Below are 24,212 nucleotides of genomic sequence, written 5' to 3'. Positions count from 1 at the left end.
GCCCATCTCTTATGTCCATCAAAATGCATCTTTTATGTGCTTCTTCCTCTTCCAAATGAAATGACACCCAGATTGTCAATTGTTCGTGCATTCTGGCCCCTCTAATTTCAGGAAGCTGCATGGTGATATCTGAACCAGAAAGGCAGAGGGAGCAAATGGAGGAATGTGTCATAGAGCCTACAACCAGCCCTTTCTCCTTGTCACTTCTCTCCTCTCTGTCATCGGTGTAAGAGTTGACTTAGAGAGACCAGGCATTCTGCACTCACATCCATTTTGGGGCATAGATACACCGGAAATATTTTACTTAATATTTATAGACATCTCTTGTTAACTCAGGCAAGTGTCTTTGGCAACAGGAGTGGGGAACAGTTGCTGTGGAGAGCTGCAATTTTTCAGAAGGAGTCATCCTTAAAATTTTTATAGTATTATGCAAAGGTCTTTAAGGTAAAGAGTGTAATGCATAGCCCCAGTGCTCTGTTAACAAACAAAATGAAAAATTTTTTTTTTGATGAAAAGGCATCACAGCAAAGCAAGAGCCAGCACAGCTTCAATGGTCAGGTGCCCAAAATTCTGTAGCCAGGATGCCTGGCATTACTAGCTGTATAACATTGGGCATGCTATGTAACTTCTCTGTACCTTGACTTCCTCCTCTGGGGATGATAATAGTACTAGTATTATGAAGAATGAATGAACAAATGAACATATAGGACTTGGCACATTGTAAGTGCTATATCAGAGCTTGTTGAGCCAGGTGCCGTGGCTCACGCCTGTAATCCCAGCACTTTGGGAAGCCGAGGTAGGCAGATTGCTTGAGCCCAGAAGTTTGAGACCAGTCTGGGCAACTTGGCGAAACCCTGTCTCTACCAAACAAATCAAAAACAAAAACAAAAACAAAAATTAGCCAGGTGTGGTGGCATGCGCCTGTAGTCCTAGCTACTCGGGAGACTGAGGTGGGAGGATTGCTTGAGCCCAGGAGGTCGAGGCTGCAATGAACTATGATTGCGCCACTGCACTCTATCTAGCCTGGGCAACAGAGCTAAACCCTGTCTCAAAAAAAAAAAAAAAAAAAAAAAAAAAAGACTTTGTTAAATAAATAAGCCTCTTTCCTCACTATCTGTTAACCTCTTGTCTTGAAGAGACTAAATCAATGAGAAGTCTTATCACTACCTCACTGGTCAGGCAGGACTGGCCATATAATTTGTGGGGCCTAATGCAAAATAAAAATACAGGGTACATCATTCTAAAACTATTAAGAACTTCAAGATGATGACAATAGGGCATTAAATTAAGTGTAGGGTCCTTTTAAATGTCTGCACTTCCATGCAACTGCACAAGTCGCACACCCATCGAGCTGGCCCTGGTGTCAGGAATTAAGACTTAATTTACCCAACAAGGACTGTCAGGAAATGTCAGAGAGAGACTACCTCAAAACTATCTTTAAGCTTTTTGATGATCTCACCCCAGAATTTGAACAAGGTGGTTTGTGCTGAACTTTTTAAAAATATCAACCAAATGATACATCTGTTGGCTGTGTAAAAGGATTCATTTAAAAAGGAGAGTACTATCTTTCTTTTCTTTGAACAGCAATGGATCCAACTTTTATTTATTTTTCCAGATTTGGTCATTTTATTCTACACTTCCTCCAAAAGCTGCCTGCCTAAAGAGTCAGTAATGAGGTGTCAAGAAACCATGGGTTGTTGGGTGGCAGGCATGTGTGCCATGCTTCATGTTAAAGTGGCTTCATGCAGAGAAGCGAAATGACACGATGATTCATTTACACATTTATTTTCTATCTCGCTTATTCTACCAGACTGAAATGGAGAACAATGCCAGCAATTTTATAGACATTTTGACATAAAGTAAACAAGTATTTTGATGTTGAACAATTGTACAGACTACTACATGCATATAGGTATGCTGATTGGTGCAGAAATATTGAGTTGATCAACAAAACTATTAATACGAAATCACATTTCCTTTTTATGGAGTTAAAATGCAGCAGATATGGGAACATTGATACAAACACCATTAAATGGCAGAAAAAGGCATTGTAGTAACGATGCAGGATGGACAGCTGAACAAACACGAGTATGCTAACTCATATCCTGTCTACAAAACTGAAATAAGAACATTTTGTATGCAAATAGAATGAAAGAAAGCATGTTGAGGCAGGTGAATGAGACTAGACAACAAGACTTAACCACTTATGTTTAAGCTTCTATTGAGAGTTTGTATTAAAAGTATTTCAACATGGTATAAGAAGAAATGCTAATGCTATTATGTGTGTGGACAGGATAGGATAATTCAATTGAGAATTCATAAATAATGAAATACTGATTGTGCTTCTTTTTCCCTGCAGCATTCAGAGCATTCATAGACTAGTATGAAAACCCTCTAAAACACTGAAGTTAATAAAAGTCAATAATGCTTCATGCGACTGTACCTAGAAATCTAATACCATGTATAACTTAGAAATAGGAAATTGTTTTACTTACCATATACATAGCAACTTTAAGAACTATTAATTTAATGGTTAATTTCTGATACTCTATTCCTTAAGTTTAAAAAATAGTTTTGGTATTTTTAATCTGGGAAATGTTAGAGACTTAATAGAAACAAAACCTCTACAATTTGAGAAAAAATAATAATTCGTATACTAATTTGTTTTGCAGCGAAATCACCCATAATTACTCACAACAAGTTTTTTTTTTGTGCGCGTTAATTAGTGACAGTACTGAACAACTTCCTCATAAGTTTTCATGAAATTACTTTGTGAATCTCCACAGAGCTGTCCTGAGTTTAACAATAATCTTCTAATTTCAGTACTACATGTCGCATTAATAAGTTTTGGGAGTTAGACAAAGTTTTAAAAATAGGACTAGTTAACCAAAAAAGCAGTAGATAATTCAGGCTCCCCCTTCTGACCTTACACATAGACATGCCCATGTGCATACACACACAAACACATACAGCCTCCTCCACGCCAATCAACTTTTAGAGAATATACCATGCAAACTTTATTTAAGCCTTATTTAACTCATTTAGAGATTTACCTTCCTCTATTAGCTTTTTTCTGTTCTTTTCTTTCCCCTCCCTCTCCCTTCATCTCCTCATCACCCTTCGTTCCTTCCATCCTTCCATCCTTTCTTTTCCCTTCCCCACCAATGCTGGCCTTTGAAAGTCTACATATGTTAGTTTTGTAGACATCCAATTTTAATTTTTGGAGACAAAAATTAAAATAAGATGCACTTTTGAAAACTGGACCTCGGTAGTCAGGTCACCTCTGAGGTATGTACAATCTTTGACTAGTGAAAGAGCTAATGTCAGACAGGTGAAAATTCACCACAATAGCCTCCCTTTATTTTACACATGATAGTGGTGAAAGACACCATTCCAGGCAGGTCTACATTGGCAATGGAAAATAAGCAATTATATGGGAAAATCAGTAGATGTTTCTCTTTAGTTTGTTAGTAGGCAACACTTTTAAACTGAATTACTCAATGTATTTTGACTATGTAGATATGACACAGATATTTATTACAAGCCTGAAAAAACAGTTAAAAAATACTATTTCAGTATTTACGGTAAAGAATACACAGATGTAAATGATTCCAACAGTGAGCCAGTTTGACTAAAAGCGTTATTGCACTGCCTCAGACCTTTTCTGACTAGATGTTGAGTAAGCAGTTGACAGTCACTTTTGTACCATGGCCTATATACACGACACCATAACATAAGGCATTGGCATAGCAAGATGATAGAATCACAATGAGCTTTTAAATGCAGCAGACATGGGACAGTCAACATTGAGTTTTTACATAAGCTACATAGAGACAGGTATTTAATACATTTAGTGGGCTGGTGGGCAGCATAAGGCTTTATCTGAATACTATTTCATAAACTAGGAACTTTTTTTTTTGAGAAAACAGAGGAATACAGTATTTGTTAGGCTACAACTAAATAGTAATAAGATCTAAACTGTCATGCAATTATGATTTAGAACATGGATTTTTTTAAGCATCATAATAAGTTGATTTCAAGTCCAAACTAAGTAGTGTGTTATACTAAAGTTTTCATAAAATAAATAAGCAAAAAAACCCCTCAACAAACCAACCAAACAAATAAAATACCCCAAATAACCACCCGAAAACCAACCAAACAATAAAACCTCATTAAAATCAAGGTATTATTTTCCTTTTACTGATGATGGCTAGCAGATACTCTAAAAGAGAATTTTTAGTGTATTTGGAAATTCCTTTGCAGTTTCAATGCAAGAATTTCCAAGTTAGCCTGTCTTTAGCATTAGTGTTGGCTGCACCCTTCTCGTTCCACAGTGCCTATCTGCTTTGGTTGAGTAGGTGCATTTAGATAGTGTAAGGACTGTACAGCGTGCTTGCTGCATTATATGTAGTCCTTGGTCATCACCCAGCTCCACTGCTCTCGTAGAAAATAAGGGCCCTATCTAAATTTATGTGATCTGGCATTTTAAACAAATCAGAATAGAAAATGAGCCTCCCTCTTTTTTACCTTTCTTGATCAATAAGATTGACATTTAAAAAGTAAAAAAAAGTATCTGATGAAATCTATACAGATGACAATTTAGACTGGATAATCAAAACAAAATTTAATGAAAAAAAATTTTGACACCAAAAGCTTTTATTCTCATTTTATAGTTTATTCTGGCAGATAGCCAATTACAGTAAATCTAGAACCAAACTGGTTATGAATTACTTTATGAAATACATCCTTAGGTGTACAAATATTTAAATCAGAAAGATGGACCAGTTTGTTGAATATTCACATAATGACTAAGCATACTCAAATGTGTGGTAACAAGGAGGCTGTAAAAGACTCCTCAAATAGATAGTATATGTGAAGTCTTAATAATTTTAAGGGCTGGGTGTGGTGGCTCACACCTGTAATCCCAGCACTTTGGTAGGCTGAGGCAGGAGGATTGCTTGAGGCCAGGAGTTCGAGACCAGCCTGGGCAACATAGCAAGATCCTATCTCTATAAAAAAAATTAAAAAATAATTGTAGGAGAAGTGGACAAAGAATTTCTTCCTTAAGGAGAAATTTGTATTTGTCTATTAAACATTAAAAAGTTAAGGCAATTAGGTAAAAGAAATGCACTACCTAGTTTTAATAGAATGTGGTTTGTCCAAATAATGTCAATGTATTTTTAAAGCCACATGGGGTGTATATGCATAATTTATATAATAGAATATCATATGTATAATATATATAATTATACATATGTTAATTATATATATTATACATATGTATAATATATATATTATACATATGTATAATATGTATAATTTAGCAAGTAAAATGCCTTCCATTTTACGTAACAGTGAGTTATACTCACATACACACGTAAAATTTTGACTGTTTAGAAAGCCATAGAAGAATTTTAGAAGACTAAGTCATTAGCATACTAATGTGGATTGAATAATTTTTTTTGGAATACTTTTAAAAAAGAAAATCTATACCTCCTATTTGTCAGGCATTGTGCTAGGTGCTTTACTCTGTATCATCTTGCTTATGCAATTTTTTAAAAAAACCTATATTTATAAGAAAATAAAAAGTATTAATTTCAAATGATCACCTAAAAAGATTTTTACATGAAAGAATATTAGAAAAAAAGAATCCAAATGCAAATTATTTGTAATTGGATGTATAGCAAAGTACAAATTTTCAATATGGCTTTCTCTCTACGCCTAGAATCTTTTGCTAAAGTTTTGCTTAAACTGTCATTACCGTTTTGGCCCAGAACCATATAAAAACTACCAGAGCAATATCAGTTTTCCCTGATTGAACTGTTTATTACCATTGAAAATGATAAAAAGTTCGGATGACGAGGTGGGCAGATCACAAGGTCAGGAGATAGAGACCATCTTGGCTAACACGGTGAAACCCTGTCTTTACTAAAGATACAAAAAATTAGCTGGGTATGGTGGCACGTGCCTGTAGTCCCAGCTACTCGGGAGGCTGAGGCAGGAGAATCGCTTGAACCCAGGAGGCGGGGGTTGTAGTGAGCTGAGATTGTGCCACTGCACTCCAGCCTGGGCAACAGAGTAAGACTCCATCTCAAAAAAAAAAAAGAAAATGATAAAAAGGGTAATATTGGTATTTTCGTCTCTGTATTCTGCCCTGAAAACAGGCACACGAACAACCTGTTACACACACAAATTAGATGGAGAGTTTGCATTTAGGATGATGCCTAAATCCTTGTGATAAACTAGTGAATTAGGGACCACCTTTCTCACCAGCCAGCTATTTACCTTTGAAGTAAAATAACTTAATAGAGGCTTAAAACATACTTTTTTTTTTTTTTTGTCCATAATGGGGGAAAACACTATGTCATTGTTTTGTTGGTCAAATCATGTTATTATACTGTATAGAGACAATTCCTTTGTCCTCAGGCCTTGCTACGTTTTCTGACTGCTGGGACATCCTCCTGTTGCTCTTGGCTTTGGGCTTCAAGTTGTGATTACTAATGGCTCATTTGGTCTTCCCTTTGACCTGGTACCTGATATACTCTGCTCAGGGAGATTCTAGGGAAGGATTGTGGGGAGTACTGCAGACAGGAGAGGAATGATTTTTTTTTTGTATTTTTTTTATTATACTTTAAGTTGATAAAAGTCTTAATTAGCAGGATCTGAAATTTGATCACAAGAATCTGTTTCCAAACCAGGATGGTAAAACTTGACAAAAAGGGGGAGGGGAGTGTGATGGCCGAGGCATGTCTACAAATGGTTTCTATTGTACTCCAGGTACACTAGGTAATGTTAATAAGTTGCCCAATAATATTCCTTTTCAACAACTTTCTCCCACCTACCCTCACTTCTCCAAACAAAACAAATCAAGTAAGCAAACACACAAGTAACAATATCAAACAGAAAGACTTCAGATTGAAATCAAGGTGCTAAAAGCAAACATAGCCGCTATGTAGTTAAGTTAAAGGTTATTAAAAATGCTTCAGTGTGTTAACTGTACCTCATATTTGCTTAATAAACCTTCTTTATGCATTCACTGAATTTTTTTATGGTTTAATATCATACCTCTTTAAAATTGCATGAGTTTGGAACTTGGCTATTGTGTGACAAGATAGTGTCACACACTAGTTTTTGTAAGTGTTTTGTAAGTTCCGTGTTTTTCTTTTTCTCTTCTCTTTGGTTTTGAGCTAAATATTAATAGGAAAATTTTTGCTAGTTCTTTAGTGAGATTTTCATAGAATATGTACATTTTTATTAATTAATTCTAGTGATAGCATTTTGTTGGATAAGTAATTTGGGTAATACCAATATGTTTCTTTCTGCGTGTTTTCCTTACAAAAATCTTCTTGTCATGAAACATTATGATGTGAGTATAATTTACAGGTTGAAAACAGCCTAACCCATACCCAAATAAAAATGTTAGAAACATCTTGCTTTAAAGGTGGGCCAGAAATCTGGCTGTAGTAGAATATCTGGCCAGCACACACAGATGTCTAAGGGGAGTTTAGAAACCATTCTTTTTTTCCCAAGAGTCAATTCAGGGGTATTTCAGGCTCTACTTGTAATCTTCAAGTCGAATGGAAACTGTGGGTTTTGGAGTGAGTCAACCCAAATAGCCTTGTCATTACAGATCCATGATTTTTTTTTAAACCCACCATTTTGAGTTCTTATCTTGCTTCCCACTAATGGCAGAAAGGTGAAAATAGCATTTACTGTGTATCCCAAGTGTAGACTAGGGCACCGCTAAACATTCAGCTACACTTGTGATTTTGTTTTGATTTTGGAGGTAGGAATACTCTGAAAGTGCTGTGCAAAGGGTAGCAAGAGTTTTATCAAATATTTTGGAAAAAGAAAAAAAAAACCTGAGATGTAATCACTGAAAAAGCAATGGAATTGTGGTTTTGGCTAAATGCAGGGGGAACTGAAGGTGGAAAACTGAAGGTGGTTTTCAAGTCCTGGTGAAGGCATCCTTTCTTGGCCTGTACACTTCCACCTTCTCTCAGACTGACCAGTAGAGGGCACTCGACACAGGGAGTAACAAGCCGGACGGCGGAGCGCCCCTGACATCCTCTCTGAACCTGTATCTTTCCACGCTGCTCTGTCCTCACTATTCCGTGTCAGTTTCCCTGAGTTTTGATTTTGAAAGTCTATTTTAAGTGTTTGGTATACCATCCTAAGTGTGTTTTAGGTTGAAATGGAGCAAAAATAGTTAAAAGAAAAACTATGTAGCCATACTGTTGGCCAGCATTGCCCACCGCGGAGGGAAGATAAACATTGCTCAGATGGGCGTTCGGCTTTCATAAAATCAGCAGCTTGGGGTGGCATCTAGCTCAGCATACAGCCTAGGATTTAAAAAAATCAAACAGAACAGTTACGGGAGTATAAAAACGATCATTTTCAAAGTCATTTTTGGCTAGAATCCTATTCTGCTAAAGTGGGAAATGTCTTCATTCAAATACTTTGTCACTAGATTTCAGACAGCTACTGCAATTTTAAGCATGAGTGTTTAGAAACCCTATGTGGTGGAAATTCAGATTCTAGATTAGAGAATGGAAAAAAATAACTTGGGTCTGAAAGAAAATAAAAGGGAGTTACAGACATTTTCCAACAACAAACTCAAATCTACTGTCATACTATTATTAGCTTACTGCAATCCACTGGAATTGGATTTTACTTGGTACTATAACCTCTTAAATATGAAACCTCTGCTAGACTGCAAACTTGAGGGAATGAACTGTACCTAAGTTAATTTTGGGCACATAGGTGACCCTCAACATATATTTGTTGAATAAAACACTTTATCAACAACAATCTGGAAATATCTGTCAGATGATAAGAAATAATTTCTTCAGGAGAGAAAGTAGAATTGGAATTATGGCCTGAATTCTAAATTTCCTATAAATAGTAAGTATTTAGTCTAAACTTTATGCAGGTGCATGCCTATACCTAATATAAATTTTTCTGCTTAAAAACATATTTAATTTACTTACATTTTTCTTAGTCTTTCTTCTTTTATTTTGTACTTGTATCTTTGGCTGGCCTTGGATGACCTTACTATTAAAGACAGTCCCTCACTTCCCTTTATTTATATGTGTATTTACAGGTTAAAATTCTTTTAAACTTAACAAGGAAGAGATTATGGTAAATAAGGATTTATAAAATTAAGTTAGGCTGTTTTAAAAAGGCAAGTAGAAGAAATGGTCATTGAAACCACTAAAGGAGAGCATTTATGTCACTATGTCACAATAAATGCTAAACTGAGTAATATGAGGTGTTCACCAAAATTTTGGAGTTGGGACCTTTCCTCTTAGTAGGGATGGGCTTTTAAACTTTTCAATTTTAATTTAGATTTTGTGGCTTTCTTTTGCTTTCTTTCTTTTTTTCTTTTTTTGTTGTTGTGCTGTTTTGGGGGAGGGCAGTGCAGTCACAAAATCCATATGGACTTAGAGAATAAATACCTTGAGTCAAACTAAGTAGTTTTTAAATACTGAATTTTAAAAATCTTTCATTTAGAAATTGAGAGGACTAAGCAATGATTAATGATATATCCCTAAAATGTTGCCGATAGTTAATAGGAAGAAAAAGCATTAAAATGCTTTGCTTTTAATAATATAACCATCAAACACACTATTAAAACATAAACTTTTTAGCAGACTTTTCCACTAGTATTAAATTTTGCTCTAGTGACTTGTTACAGACTATAATTAGCTATTTTGACAAGCAATATATCTAATAAAAAATTATTTTTCATTTTATCATATAAGGAAAGACAACCCATAACCTCACTCAATCAGATTAACAATTTGTTATTTCAAACATGAAATCTAAACTGTGATTCAAAAATAATTTTAGATTAGACTTTATTCCATCCATCTACTTTTTAGGAAAACAGTTCTTTGGAAAATCACTTCATTTGTTTCTGTTGTGTGCTTCCCTGGCTTGATAATTGAATGGTTTTTCCATCCTCAGAAAAGACATTTTTCAGTAACCAAATCCTCAGCTTGGTTTTAAGTGGGCCAGGCAGTAAGCTCCATGAAGCCAGGGTTGTACCCTAGCACCATACAGGGATGCTCAACTAGTATTTGAACAAATGAACAGTGAAATGATTATCAAATTCAACTAGACAATATTTTTGAACTTAGAAGTATTTCTAAAGTTCTATTTGCTTTTGTTTCAGATTAAGTGTCTTCCTGCAGCCCTCTGCTTAATGAGTACGTCATGTGATATCATGAACAATGAATTCTTTTCTTTAACCAAGGAATGTATATCTTATGGTCAGAATTCCAAATTGGGAAACATATATGCAAAAGATGGTCAATGCCAGTTCTTTTATGTTTTTACCATTTGGCACCATCTACTTCTGCTTTAAACAAGCTGTGTGACTATAAATACACCTCCAGTTTTATTTACATATTTTTGATATTATTAGAAAAAAAAAAACCAAGCCTAACTAAACATACTTTCCTGTAGTATACTGGAATGCCAGACTTGAAGCCGGACGGCATGGATGAGGCCAAGTTCTATTCACCAGGGACATGTGTGAAATTGAGCAAAATGTATAACCCCTCCAGTCCTTTACTGAATATTCAAAAGGCTGTTGTGAGATAAGAAACTATAAGTACTCTATATACATATGGCTTTTTTTTGGTATTCAAATTTCAAGAGAAAATAGTTGAATTGTTGACTTTCCTAGGCCAGTGTCTACAGGAGAGTGAGACTGTTTTGAGAAGAAATTAATGGGAACAGACACTTGGCACATATTCTCCTTGTTACCAAATCTAGTTATATCAGGATAACACTTGATCAAATGCTTGCTTCAAAGCAGCTGGTTGTGTCATGGTAGAGAAATTTCTAGTAAAAATGTTTAGAGATGAATCAAGTCAATTCCGGGGACCCACTTAGCATATCATCCTTGTATGTGTGGTCTGACTCAGGACACACATTGATGCACCCATTTCTATCCTCATAGGATTGGACTCAATCTTTGACCTCAAACAATATTGTGGCAATTTGTGCTGGTTGTTAAGAGAGTCAGAAGAATCAAATTAGCCATACATGGAACTGAGTTATTTTGTAGTCATTCAAATAATCCTCACTTGTAACACGGGGTGAGTGCTCTCAGCAGCAGAAACCTCCAGTGGCCCTCAGGGAACCAATCTCTGTTCCTGCCATTCATGCAGTGCATCTCAAACTGGGGATCTATTTTTCCAGGGGATACAAAAGACGTATTTAAAGTTACACAAGTATCCATTTTACTAGTTGGTAAATAATATAAAACATTATTTTTAAAATATTTAAACATATGGAATATATAAAATTATGAAGTAAAATGCAGCATTTACATGAATTTTTTGTGTAAAACATAAGACTCCAAAAGAACTCTGTGCTTGGGACATTCCCAGACCATTCCAGGCACACATGTTTATTCTCTGCGTTAGGTGCAGTTCATGGAAAAGGCTTAGGAAGTGCTACACAAGTGCATCCTGGGAGCCTTCAGTCCCCACACTGCCTCCTTGTGAAACACCAAAGTCAAAGATGTTTCTTAGAGGAGCATTTTCTTTTTTTCCTAGCTGAAGACTTTTGGCTCAGAGGAACTAAGGAAAATGGAAGGATAAGCTTCCATGCGTTGTACTAGAAAATTCTCTAAAACTTAAAAATGTACCTTAGAATGAAGGGAAAAAAGATTTTGGGGAGGATGCTTCTAGGGAGGAATGTCTAGGATTCTTCGACTAGGCAAGCTTTCTAATATTAAACATTCTGGAGCAGTGTTGTCAGCAGAAGGCCTAACAGACATAGGAAAGGTGGGCATCAGTCAACTCTTAGCGCATTAAGACAAGTCCACTTATACAGAAAGATGAATAAAAAGAGTTGAGATTCATCAATAAGAGATGTTCGAAAATAATTGCTTTATGAGGCTATGTAAATAAAATGATTTTCATAAATTATTTGCTATGCATCTAACAGCAGATATACCTGTTTGACCTTGAAAAACTATAGACAGAAAATTCAAACACTCTATTTACAAAACTGATCAATATTTAGCTTTAGACACTGAAATAAGTATGAGTAATGTAAATATCAACGATTAGTGACCATAAACTCTTTAAGGTTATGTTTTGAAACAAACATGAAAACCAGTAAGAAATTCTAAGCACAGTGAAAAAAGAAATGTTTAAAATTATTTTTAGCAGTAGGTCTGCTTGTGTTTCAACTAAAATCAAAACCTGTTTTCTTATCTGAGATATAATGACCAGATTCTGTTAATAAAGAAATGTTTTTCTTTAAAGACTTAAATAACAGTCTAAATATTTGGGCTATTTTTTCCTTTTAAAAATAAAATAAAATTCAGAATTTTTTAATTTAAACATGAATTGTGCTTTAAATTTGGCCCAGCATCTTCCTGTTTCCCTGAATTTTACACACACACACACACACACACACAAACACACACACACACACAGACGTGTACAAAGTGCATCAGGCTGAGGCAAAATCTGGACCTTCCTGGGAGACCAAGGAATCATATTAAAGTCTTATGGGACCTTGGAAATAATTTTGTCTTGATTTTTACTGGAGCAAAACTGAGATCAAGAAAGGTTGTACAGGCTTGCCTAGAATCCCACATCTGGTGGTTGCAAATTTGGACCAGAGCCTTGATTCCTGTGAAGCAAAGTGAATTAAGATGACCTGGGTTCTAGCACAGACTTCACCAACAGGGCAATCTCTGGTCAGTGTCTTCACTGCTCTGGATTTCACCGCTCCTAGTCAAAAATGCTGAAAGTCATTTTGAACAAACAGAGTCCCAACCACCCCCTGAAAAGGTTGGAAATGCAAGGGGGTGTTTCTAGTTGCTGTAATTACAGGAGGGTGTGACTGCCATCTGTGCTCTGGGTTCTGTAATTCATATCCTGCAAAAAGAACAACTTCCTCCCACACATTGCAGTGTCCCCCCACCTCGCATCCCATGTTGAGAAATATAGGGTGACCCATTACCACGCCTGGGCTCTTTTCATAGTAACTCATCTCCCAGCCAACTCTATGAGTGGCAGCGGCAATCTCACTTAAATGACTCTGCTTTTAGTTTGTCAAGTCACTTTTTGGAATTTCCATTTTGGCATATCTGTATTCTATTTTTAGAACTTTAGTTAGGAAAGGTTATGTTATGTTGGATACAAGTGGAAAATACAGTCATCTTTAGGTGGCCAAATTTTTTAACAGAACTAATTTCCAAATGTAGACTGCCTTAAAAACATTTAATTGTATGATACAACCTTTTAAATAATTTCAGGTTTTTAAAAAATGCATTTCTGTAATCGGCTGTGGCATGACATATAACTTATTGGCAAAATTTCAAATATTTTGATATCTGGTCATTAAATCTTGCCTATGTCTATGATTTATAAATGAACCACAAATGCCACAACTAAGCAGAAGCAAAAAAGTAAAATGCAGCCTATGAATTATATCACAAATAAATAAAAAATACTGTATTCCTTTAAACAAATGTACTTTTAAGAGCTTTATAACTCAAAGCAAGATATGCGAGATGGTTTAAGGAGAGGTTGCAATTTTGCAACAGGAAGTCTGTACAGCTCCTCCAGGCAGTAGCTGTGAAGGAAATACCTGTGTCTCAGAAATTTGTTTCCATGTGTTCATGACACTTTTGCATCCAGGCCCCATTATTTACAAAGTTATGCATTTTGCAAGCTCACAGTACCTTATTCTTCATAATTATGAATGCATGCAATGACATTTCATCCTTTCATGTGAAAATTCTAAGCTTCATTGTAAAATAAACGTTAAGACTTGAAAATCGGCCTACAATTTGAAATGAAAGGATCAAAAATGTCAGACATTGCAGAATATTGGTTCCTAATAGAGCTCTTTTTATTTGTTCACTGTTCTTCAGTCATTTTTGTTGGTTTGTTACAAAATGCAGTCTTGACTCATTATTTAAACAGTACTTAAGCTAAACTGTTCATGCCATGCAAAAATAACATTTTATGCACTTTTTTTGGGGAGGGCTTCCCATTTTTTTAGTTCACAGGCATTATTAACCGCATTTTTAAGAAACAAGTTTTGTTTTGTTTTGTTTTGTTTCAATTTATTGCTTTTGTAACTAGTCACATGCTGGTTTCACGTGTGGGACAATAACCTGTGTCTCCTGGGTTGGAATGAATTTCTGGGGCAAACAAGTGATTTTCCATCTTGCACCCTTCTTGACTACTGTCCTTTTTGACTTCACTCACAGCATGGTAAATGTCTTGCCTACAGTTGTGACCTGTGTCCTGCGGGGAGGAAGAGCCCACACTGCCCTCTTCTCTTAAAGGGTCTCTCCCATCACTAGGCTTATCTGCAAAGCAATTTGGGCTGGAGTCCACCTGCTTCTCCTCCCTTGCCCCTGGGAGCTCTAAGAAGTCTTCGTCGTCACCAGTATCTATTTCAGTGAAGCTCCTCCTCTCTCTTGAAGAGAAAGGGAACAGTTTCTGCTTGGGAAACCTGGGGGACAGCCCTTTGGAAGGTCCCTGACAAGGCGCTGAAACCTCAGTGCCCAGCAAGGGTCTGTCTCCCTGGGAGGGGGTTTCTTCTAAGAGGATGGTACTGATGTGCTGCGGGGTAGTGAGCGAAAAGTCAGCTGTGGTGACTGGCAGTGGCCTGGCTGTGCTGGGCGGGGTCTGTGGTGCACTGCCTCTATTTTCCTTAAAGTTCACTTTGAGGGATCTGGACTTTAGTGGGTTGCTGCCTTTTAGAGAGCTCTTAGGACTGTCGGTGGCATTGTCAGACTGCAAAGGACTATGTAGCCCACACTGGGAGCCACTGGCATCGAGGTTCACAGTTATGTCAACTGGGGCATACTCCAGCGTGCCATCCCTGGCAGCAGGTCCTTTCTCTCTGGATAGAGTTAGAAACGGGGGGCCCCTAGCTCTTTGGTGCTCTTCTGTCCCTGGGAGGTCGGTTGGGAACTTCATCTGCAAGTGAGAGGCGGAGGGCGGCGGCAGCGGCGATCTCTCTGTCTCTGTGAAGTCGGTGGCACAGCTGGTGAAGCTGTCGATGCTGGAGGTGCTCTTCATGTCCACAATGACCTCGGTCTGTGCCACGGCCAGCTGCTCCTGTGGACACACCACTTCTTCCATTTCAATCTCTTCTTCATATGCAGATGGCCTCTCAGGCTTTTCTTGGCAGTCTGGGTTTGGGTGAGAATGAGGCTGTGTCTTGGTGATTTCATTGTATAGCATCTCCAGTTTCTGGGCACTCAGATGCTGTGGGCTGGAGGAAGACGTGTTGTTCAGCTGCTCGTGGGAGTCTTTTTGGCTAACCTCCTGGTACTTATTCTCGAAAGACTTGTTGGAGCTTGTTTCCGACAGAGCCTTCCTGGCCCACTTCCACCGGCTTGGCGACAGGTGATTATCGTCGGCGGAGTCCTTTGTGTTGGCGGACTCTCCGGCCTTCTCAACAGCCACATCTATCAGTTCCATACTTCGAGCGAAGGCATCTTTTAAGTTCATAGAAACGATGCTTCCGTTCCTTTTGGCCCGCTCAAGAGCCTCCCTCCTTTTAATTGCTTTCTCTTGGCGTTTCTGCTCCTTGTAAAACTCAGAAAAATTGTTCACAATAATTGGGATAGGAAGGGCAATAACCAGAACCCCAGCAATACAGCACAGACCTCCCACAATTTTCCCTAGTAATGTTTTAGGGTAAATGTCACCATAGCCAACAGTGGTCATGGTGATGGTGGCCCACCAAAATGATGCAGGGATACTGGTGAACTTGGTAGCATCTTCATCCTTCTCAGCAAAAAATACCAGGCTGGAAAATATCATTATCCCCATGGCCAGAAACAATATCAACAAGCCCAATTCATTGTAACTCCGCCTAAGGGTGAAACCCAGAGACTGCAGGCCTGTCGAATGCCTGGCGAGTTTCAGGATCCTGAGGATGCGCATGATTCGGAAGATCTGGACCACGCGCCTCACGTTTTGGAACTGCAGCACGCTCTTGTTGGACTCCGTCAGAAAAATGGTGACATAGTACGGCAAGATGGCCAGCAAATCAATGACATTCAGTGGGCCTTTGAAGAACTTCCATTTATTTGGTGAGGATAAGAATCGCAAAAGGTACTCCATGGTAAACCATGCAATACACACAGCCTCCACGTGTGCTAATTGGCGGTTGTCATTGAGTTGTCCAAATTCGTCCGTTTCCTGCAGCTCCGGCAGCGTATTGAGAGACAAAGCAATGGTGGAAAGCACAATGAACAGGATAGACACGATGGCCAGGATCTGGAAAAGAGAAAAGTCCAAGTCAGCAAATCCTCTTAGTTGCTTAGGCAGCTAGGAGACAGATGGGTCGGTGATTGTTTAACTAATATGGAATGCTCCAAGTTCTTCCAAGAAGATTATAAGAAGGTAATTTTACAACTTAAAATTCCCTAACTAACACAAATACTTCATTTAGAAGCCTAATGTATATTTAAATTCCATTCCCCCCTTCCGCACTCATTGTTCTTAGGAACATGTATGGGCATCCAACATTTGGATGAGGGCCACATATGGCTGGAATAGTTTTTGGGGGGAGTAATTATCTCTCCTCTCTTAGTTATCTGTATTTTTCTCTCTTAACCACCTGGTTTGTGTTTTGTTAAAGGAATTGTCTTACATGCCATGTAAGCTAGACAGAATTGGTGATCGCCAGGAATTTCATTCTACAATTAAAAATATAAACTCAGACCGACACCTGGAGAGAGAACATGGCACTCAGTACAACAATGCTTCTTCTAAGAACAGGTAATATTCATGTGGCAAGCACTGACATCAGAACCAAGTTAGTATGGCCTTTGTCCTCAGATGTGTGGACTTCTGGCCAGCATCATGTGGAAAAGGAAGATTATATGCTAACTTCAAAGAGTGCAGGAAGGTTTCATAAAGAAGAGTTTGAAGAACAACCATGATGATTTCAGTGCAGGGCTGACATTCCAGGTGGCATGATGTCAGACACGGAAGGAAAGAGGAACAGCTTAGAATGAAGTAAGGAGAGGACTAGTGACTGGGTTTTAGAGTCAGGCAGTCTGAGCTCTGACCCTGGCTTTACCACTTATTGGGTGACCTTGGGCAAGTTATTTAACCTTTCTGTCTCAAAGTACAGATCTGTTGAATAAAGGCAACAATCATAGCTACTTCGCAGCTGTTATAAAAATTACATGGTACACAGACATCACTAAATAAATGAAATGACCCAGAACTGCAGTCTGGAAGGACAAAGGCCAAGGACAGGTATGTGGAATATCTGTAAAGCCATATAGGACATAGATAGCCCAAGTGGGGATTTTCTAACCAAATCCCAGTGTTCTAGATTTATGGGGCAAGCAGAAGGATGCAGATTTGAGGGTAAGGCAAAGGAAGTGCTTCTTTGCTTAAATTGTGTATTTAGTATACTCAATTCTTGGTGGAGAAGGAAACCTCTCTTACCTAGGTTAGGTCTGGCTTGGTTTCATCTGACCTTTGCCAGTGACCTTGGTGGGAGGTGTCATTGGTTTCAGTTATCATATGTAGCACTGAGAAAAATATTCTGAAGTGACAGCTTCATTTAGAGATTGAGCATCTAGTAAACATTTCAAAGGGCAGTGATTAGACATTTTGATACCACACAACTCAGTACACATTAGATTGTTAAAAAATTAGTTTACATCAGGACTTCTTACTTCTTCCTCCCTGCATTTTCTTCTTTTTAATCTCTCTAAATTTCTCCACTTCTGGGTTATTCTCCTTTCACTTCCTCCTTTCTCCTCTTATGTCTCCTTTACTTTTTTTTTTTTTTTTTTTTGCGGGGGGTGAAGGGGGAAAGGTTTTGTTCTGTCATCCAGGCTGGAGTGCAGTGGTGCAATCTCAGCTCACTAGCTCACTGCAACCTCTGCCTCCCAGGCTCAAGTGATCCTCTGGCCTTGACCTCAGCCACCTGAGTAGCTGGGACTACAGGTATGCACCACCATGCTCAGCTAATTTTTTTTGTATTTTTAGTAGATACGGGGTTTCGCCCTGCTGCCCAGGCTGGTCTTGTGATCCACCTGCTTCGGCCTCCCAAAGTGCTGGGAGCCACTGTGCCTGGCCCCTTTATATCTTTCATTGTTTTCTTCTTCCTCTTCTTCCAGCTTCCATCTTTCCTCCTTAAATTGCTATAAAGTGAAACAACAGTATAATGCATTTCAGAATGTGTTGTAGAGTAAATAAAGATTTATGGACCTTTAACTTAAAGTGCAGTGTTTTATTATTAGTGTTTTATACTTTTTCTTAGAACTAGGTTAAATACTTTCTATCTTTTTGAGAGTACTTCAGAATTTTCTTTAAAAATATGGATCAGTGTATCACAATAGAAAAATAAAGGTCCTCTTTAACTCCTCTAAGAGGCTGTGAAGGCTAAAGTTAGAAACTCCCTTGAGAAGATTTAGATAAATCCCTGGCTAATAGATTCAGATGGTTTTAAAGGCAAGTTGGGAATGCTCACCTTGAATCCCTACCATCAGAAGCCAATGGCAGGGTAACATGTACAATATTCTGCCAGGAAAATATTCCTGAAAAATCAATGGTCAGATCCCATCCGTTCCTATGCTCTTATCATAAGGAACCAAGATATTTTTTCGGGAGGTCACGCTGTTGCTAATACATCTTTGGGCATTTTAAGTATTGGGATTACTGCCATTCTTCTTGTACTGACAATCCATACTCTAGATTTTCTATATCTAATCTGTTCATTTGTTAATTTTGAATGCATTTTACTGACATGTGTTTATCACTTCAAAGAGAGGAGAGAAGTAGAAATGCAAATGAATCCATTCTATTGCCTTCCACCTTTTGGCAAAGGATAAAGTGAAAGGTCCAAGGGGGCCTTCAGTCCTTCATTCCACAATTAGAGCTAGACTGTAGGTCACTTTACTTCTGCAGCTAATTTTGGGAAATGATGATGAAACACAATAGAGTCTTGCTGTAGTCTATTGTCTAGTTGACCACAGCTTAACAAATATGACCACTTTAACACTTGGAAATTTAGCATATGCAGAACAGGATTTAGGACACATTCTTGAAGACAAATAGTTACTAAAGGAAAAACTAATCATTCAAGCCCTTAAGCCATTCCATATTCACGTTAAAGAAAACCATAGGTACTGAAGTGCATTATTATCTTTCTCATGTTGAAATTCAATTTGTCAAAACCCATTTGCTCTCAATTTAGAGGAAGGACTTATTTTAAACATCTTGTGAAGCTTGGAGTTCTCCCAGAAAGACAGCACTTTAGATAAATGATTCAATAAATACCAAGGTGATGTGTGGTGCAATGAGCCAAATGCAAGTTTATTGTCTTATTGTAGAGTTTTTTTTAACACAATAAATATAATAAATGTGAAATTTTGCTTTAAGCTTGAGGATGCACTTCAAAACATGAATATTTACTTTATAGCAAGCTCTTATGGCACTTATGTGGCAAGCCAGGTCTCACTAACGCAGGCCTCCACAACCATTGTTTCAGCACTGACTGAGTGGTTAACTTATATACTAAAAGCTGAAAAAGCCAATGCCCTTATATAAAGGTTGGACTGCAACAAAAGCCCACCAAGAGTTTTGCCCAGGCCTTTCCTGGGCCTTGAAGCTGACAAGATAATGAAGGAATTCTTAACAGGACCTGTTTAGGATTAAACAAGTTTTATAGGGGGTCTTAGGAAACTCCCCAGGTCTTCACAAACAAGTTTTCTGGGGGTCTGAAGGAACTCCCCAAACTTCAGTGATTTAGCAGGAGACAAGGGTAACCACCCCAGCACCTGGACCCATTTAGATTAGGTAAATTTACTGAGGCTCCAGAGGAAGGTCTTCAGGACTCAGGCCTTTGTTATAGATTAAAAGAAGTTAATCACTTATGTCTTTAGATGAATGCACACTTACACGTAGACATATAGCTTAGAAGGTATATAAGCTCTGGAAAACTTTGTAATTTTGAGTTGCTCTGGGGATAATTTCCAGGCCTTCTCCCTGTACCTGGTTACAGAAATAAACTCTCTCCTTTCCCAGTTCCTCTGCATTTCATTATTGGGCCATGAGAATAAGCAGCCTCACCCTTGGTTTGGTCCGGGAACACTTAGGTATTGCTTTACTTACCACAACCATTCACAGGTTAGAATCTCACTGTCTCAGGAGTTTTTTTTGTTTGTTTGTTTTTGAGACAGTGTCTGGCTCCGTTGCCCAGGCTGGAGTGCAGTGGCACGATCTTGGCTCACTGCAACCTCCACCTCCCAGACATAAGCGATTCTTGTGCCTCAGCCTCCCAAGTAGCTGGGAATACAGGTGTGCACCACCATGCCCAGCTAATTTTTGTATTTTTAGTAGCGACAGCGTTTCACCACGTTGGCCAGGCTGGTCTCAAATGCCGGGCCTCAAGTTGATTCACCCACCTTGGCCTCTCAAAGTGGTGGGATTACAGGCATAAGTCACCATGCCCCACCTGCCTCAGGTTTTTAATCCCTTTCACCTCCAACAACTGACCTCCAGAGCTGGCAGGAGTGAACTATTTCAGCTCTAGCAAACAGAATTATGTGCAAAAATCACAAGCATTCTTATACACCAATAACAGACAAACAGAGAGCCAAATCATGAGTGAACTCCCATTCACAACTGCTTCAAAGAAAATAAAATACCTAGGAATCCAACTTACAAGGGATGTGAAGGACGTCTTCAAGGAGAACTACAAACCACTGCTCAATAAAATAAAAGAGGACACAAACAAATGGAAGAACATTCCATGCTCATGGATAGGAAGAATCAATATCGTGAAAATGGCCATACTGCCCAAGGTAATTTATAGACTCAATGCCATCCCCATCAAGCTACCAATGACTTTCTTCACAGAATTGGAAAAAACTACCTTAAAGTTCATATGGAACCAAAAAAGAGCCCCCATTGCCAAGTCAATCCTAAGCCAAAAGAACAAAGCTTGAGGCATCATGCTACCTGACTTCAAACTATACTACAAGACTACAGTAACCAAAACAGCATGGTACTGGTACCAAAACAGAGATATAGATCAATGGAACAGAACAGAGCCCTCAGAAATAATACCACACATCTACAACTATCTGATCTTTGACAAACCTGACAAAAACAAGAAATGCGGAAAGGATTCCCTATTTAACAAATGGTGCTGGGAAAACTGGCTAGCCATTAGTAGAAAGCTGAAACTGGATCCCTTCCTTACACCTTATACAAAAGTTAATTCAAGATGGATTAAAGACTTAAATGTTAGACCTAAAACCATAAAAACCCTAGAAGAAAACCTAGGCAATACCATTCAGGACATAGGCATGGGCAAGGACTTCATGTCTAAAACACCAAAAGCAATGGCAACAAAAACCAAAATTGACAAATGGGATCTAATTAAACTAAAGAGCTTCTGCACAGCAAAAGAAACTACCGTCAGAGTGAACAGGCAACCTACAGAATGAGAGAAAATTTTTGCAATCTACTCATCTGACAAAGGGCTAATATCCAGAATCTACAATGAACTCAAACAAATTTACAAGAAAAAAACAAACAACCCCATCAACAAATGGGTGAAGGATATGAACAGACACTTCTCAAAAGAAGACATTTATGCAGCCAACAGACACATGAAAAAATGCTCATCATCACTGGCCATCAGAGAAATGCAAATCAAAACCACAATGAAATACCATCTCACACCAGTTAGAATGGCGATCATTAAAAAGTCAGGAAACAGGTGCTGGAGAGGATGTGGAGAAACAGGAACACTTTTACACTGTTGGTGGGACTGTAAACTGGTTCAACCATTGTGGAAGTCAGTGTGGTGATTCCTCAGGGATCTAGAACTAGAAATACCATTTGACCCAGCCATCCCATTACTGGGTATATACCCAAAGGACTATAAATCATGCTGCTATAAAGACACATGCACACGTATGTTTATTGTGGCACTATTCACAACAGCAAAGACCTGGAACCAACCCAAATGTCCAACAATGATAGACTAGATTAAGAAAATGTGGCACATATACACCATGGAATACTATGCAGCCATAAAAAATGATGAGTTCATGTCCTTTGTAGGGACATGAAAGAAGCTGGAAACGATCATTCTCAGCAAACTATTGTAAGGACAAAAAACCAAACATTGCATGTTTTCACTCATAGGTGGGAATTGAACAATGAGAACACAGGGACACAGGAAGGGGGATATCACACACTGGGGCCTGTTGTGGGGTGGGGGGAGGGGGGAGGGATACCATTAGGAGATATACCTAATGTAAATGACGAGTTAATGGGTGCAGCACACCAACATGGCATATGTATACATATGTAACAAAGCTGCACTTTGTGCACCTGTACCCTAGAACTTAAAGTATAATAATAAAAAAAGAAATAAAAAAAACAATTATGTGTGTATACGGCCAGGGAAGTGAAGATTCCAAACAATTAACTGCGTGATGTTGGTTAAACCCTTCGGAAATTTGGATTAGGTCATCTGCAAGGTCACTTAACCTCTAACATTTGGTGATTCTCTGTCTAAACTAAAACATTTTACTAATTCCAGTCATGTCTGTCAACCAAACCCAGGACAAGTCACAGTTGATGATGTCATTTTAGTTGAACGTCCAAAGTAAATTTTTGTTACATAATGAGTAAAACATTCAAAAGAGAAGACTGAAAAATATTGCGCTGCGTATGTTCTAGGCATTTAGTTACTGGGAATAGACATTCTTTCTGGATACAACCTTTTTTCTCCCTTGAATCACCTGGATGATTACGTTATTTCTTCACTTAGACACAGACATACGCAGGATCACAGGGAGTTCAGAAGAGGGCTCCCAGCACTCGCATTAGTAGGGACCAACATTGGTTGTATTGATTTCTGTTTGTGGGAGGAAGTAAAGCAGCCGGAGACTTGCCTCAATTGAACCAGCTTGTTGATTTTAGTCCTTTGAAGATAATGGACGTTTTGTGGTGGAAAGAAGCACAGGATCAGCAATTCAAACACATGGTTCTACCTCCGCTTGCTGCATGCACAAGCCCGGTCCCTCTGTGAGCTTCAGTTCTCTCATCTGCAAAATGAGGTGCCTCATGCTTGCCTCGGCTGCCTCAGAGGGTTATTAAGGCTCATACTGGATCATGCACATGAAAGCATCCTGCCAAGTGCAGAATGTGATAAGTGTAAGAAATGCTGGAGATGTGTTTGGAAAATGCCTTTAGCCAGCATTGGGAAACAATAAAAAAAAAACTGTTTATCTCCCAGTTAAATACAATTCCAGAACTATTTAATGCTCATTTTTAACACTTTCAAACACATTCACTTAAGCAATGGTTTACATGACAAACCTAGACAATTGAATCTTTTTTTCCTTAGGACTGAACTATCTAGTTTGCCAATGTTTATTAAAGAGTTAAACTGAGGTTTCTCCAGGTGAACTTGACCTGTCTCATGTCTTAAAATATGTTTTTTATAAAACTGTGTGTGTGTGTGTGTGTGTGTGTGTGTGTGTCTGTGTGTGTGTTCCATGTAATTGAAAGTAAAGCCCCACAGGAAAGTAATAAAAGGTCATAAAAATGTAAACTTAAGAATGCTGTATATTCCATTTAATAAATGTATATTTGCAAACATAATTTGTTAAACTACCACATACACATACATACAACATCTTAGATATGTGGAGATCTAGAACAAAATAGGAAAGTGGAGGTGGCTCATGCCTGTAACCCCAGCACTTTGGGAGGCCAAGGCGCACGGATCACTTGAGGTGAGGAGTTCGAGACCAGCCTGGCCAACATGGTGAAATCTTGTCTCTACCAAAAAATAAAAATAAATTAGTCAGGTGTGGTTACGTGTGCCTGTAGTCGCAGCTACTTGGGTGACTGAAGCATGAGAATCACTTGAACCCAGGAGATGGAGATTGCAGTGAGCCGAGATTGCGTCACCATACTCCAGCCTGGGTGACAGAAGAAGACTCTGTCTCAAAAAAAAAAAAAAAAAAAGAAAGAAAGTGGAAAGAAGTCCTCACTTTTCTCCTTATCAGTTTTTAGCTCTTTGAAAAGATAATTCATGAAAACTTGAGGGAGAAAAAACAGATTTTGAATACTTGGAATGTTTTGAATTTTTACACCAGAGTATTTATGGCTCTATTCAGATTCTATAACACTCTTCTTTTTCCTGTTGGAAAAATG

General features: G+C 38.3%; 1 protein-coding gene across 2 annotated transcripts in view; it reads right to left on the bottom strand.

Annotated features, from left to right (window-relative positions):
* Nucleotides 1-13,865: 13,865 nt before the first annotated feature.
* The window catches only part of KCNB2 (potassium voltage-gated channel subfamily B member 2), a 401,125-nt gene continuing 390,778 nt past the window's right edge, over nucleotides 13,866-24,212 (bottom strand). Inside the window, exons 1-2 of one of the 2 annotated variants that reach the window (XM_017013982.2) lie at nucleotides 17,466-17,742; nucleotides 13,866-16,280 (exon numbers count right to left, since the gene is read on the bottom strand). In XM_017013982.2, coding sequence (XP_016869471.1) covers nucleotides 14,124-16,124 — 2,001 coding nt within the window. In that variant the 5' untranslated portion in view covers nucleotides 16,125-16,280; nucleotides 17,466-17,742 and the 3' untranslated portion in view covers nucleotides 13,866-14,123. Of the gene's footprint in view, nucleotides 16,281-17,465; nucleotides 17,743-24,212 lie in introns of those variants that run through there. The other variant, NM_004770.3, reaches the window with a different exon arrangement.

The sequence above is a fragment of the Homo sapiens genome, chromosome 8 (assembly GCF_000001405.40).
Source record: "Homo sapiens chromosome 8, GRCh38.p14 Primary Assembly".
NCBI classification, from domain to species: Eukaryota; Metazoa; Chordata; class Mammalia; order Primates; family Hominidae; genus Homo; species Homo sapiens.
This window is presented reverse-complemented; position numbering and strand designations above follow the sequence as displayed.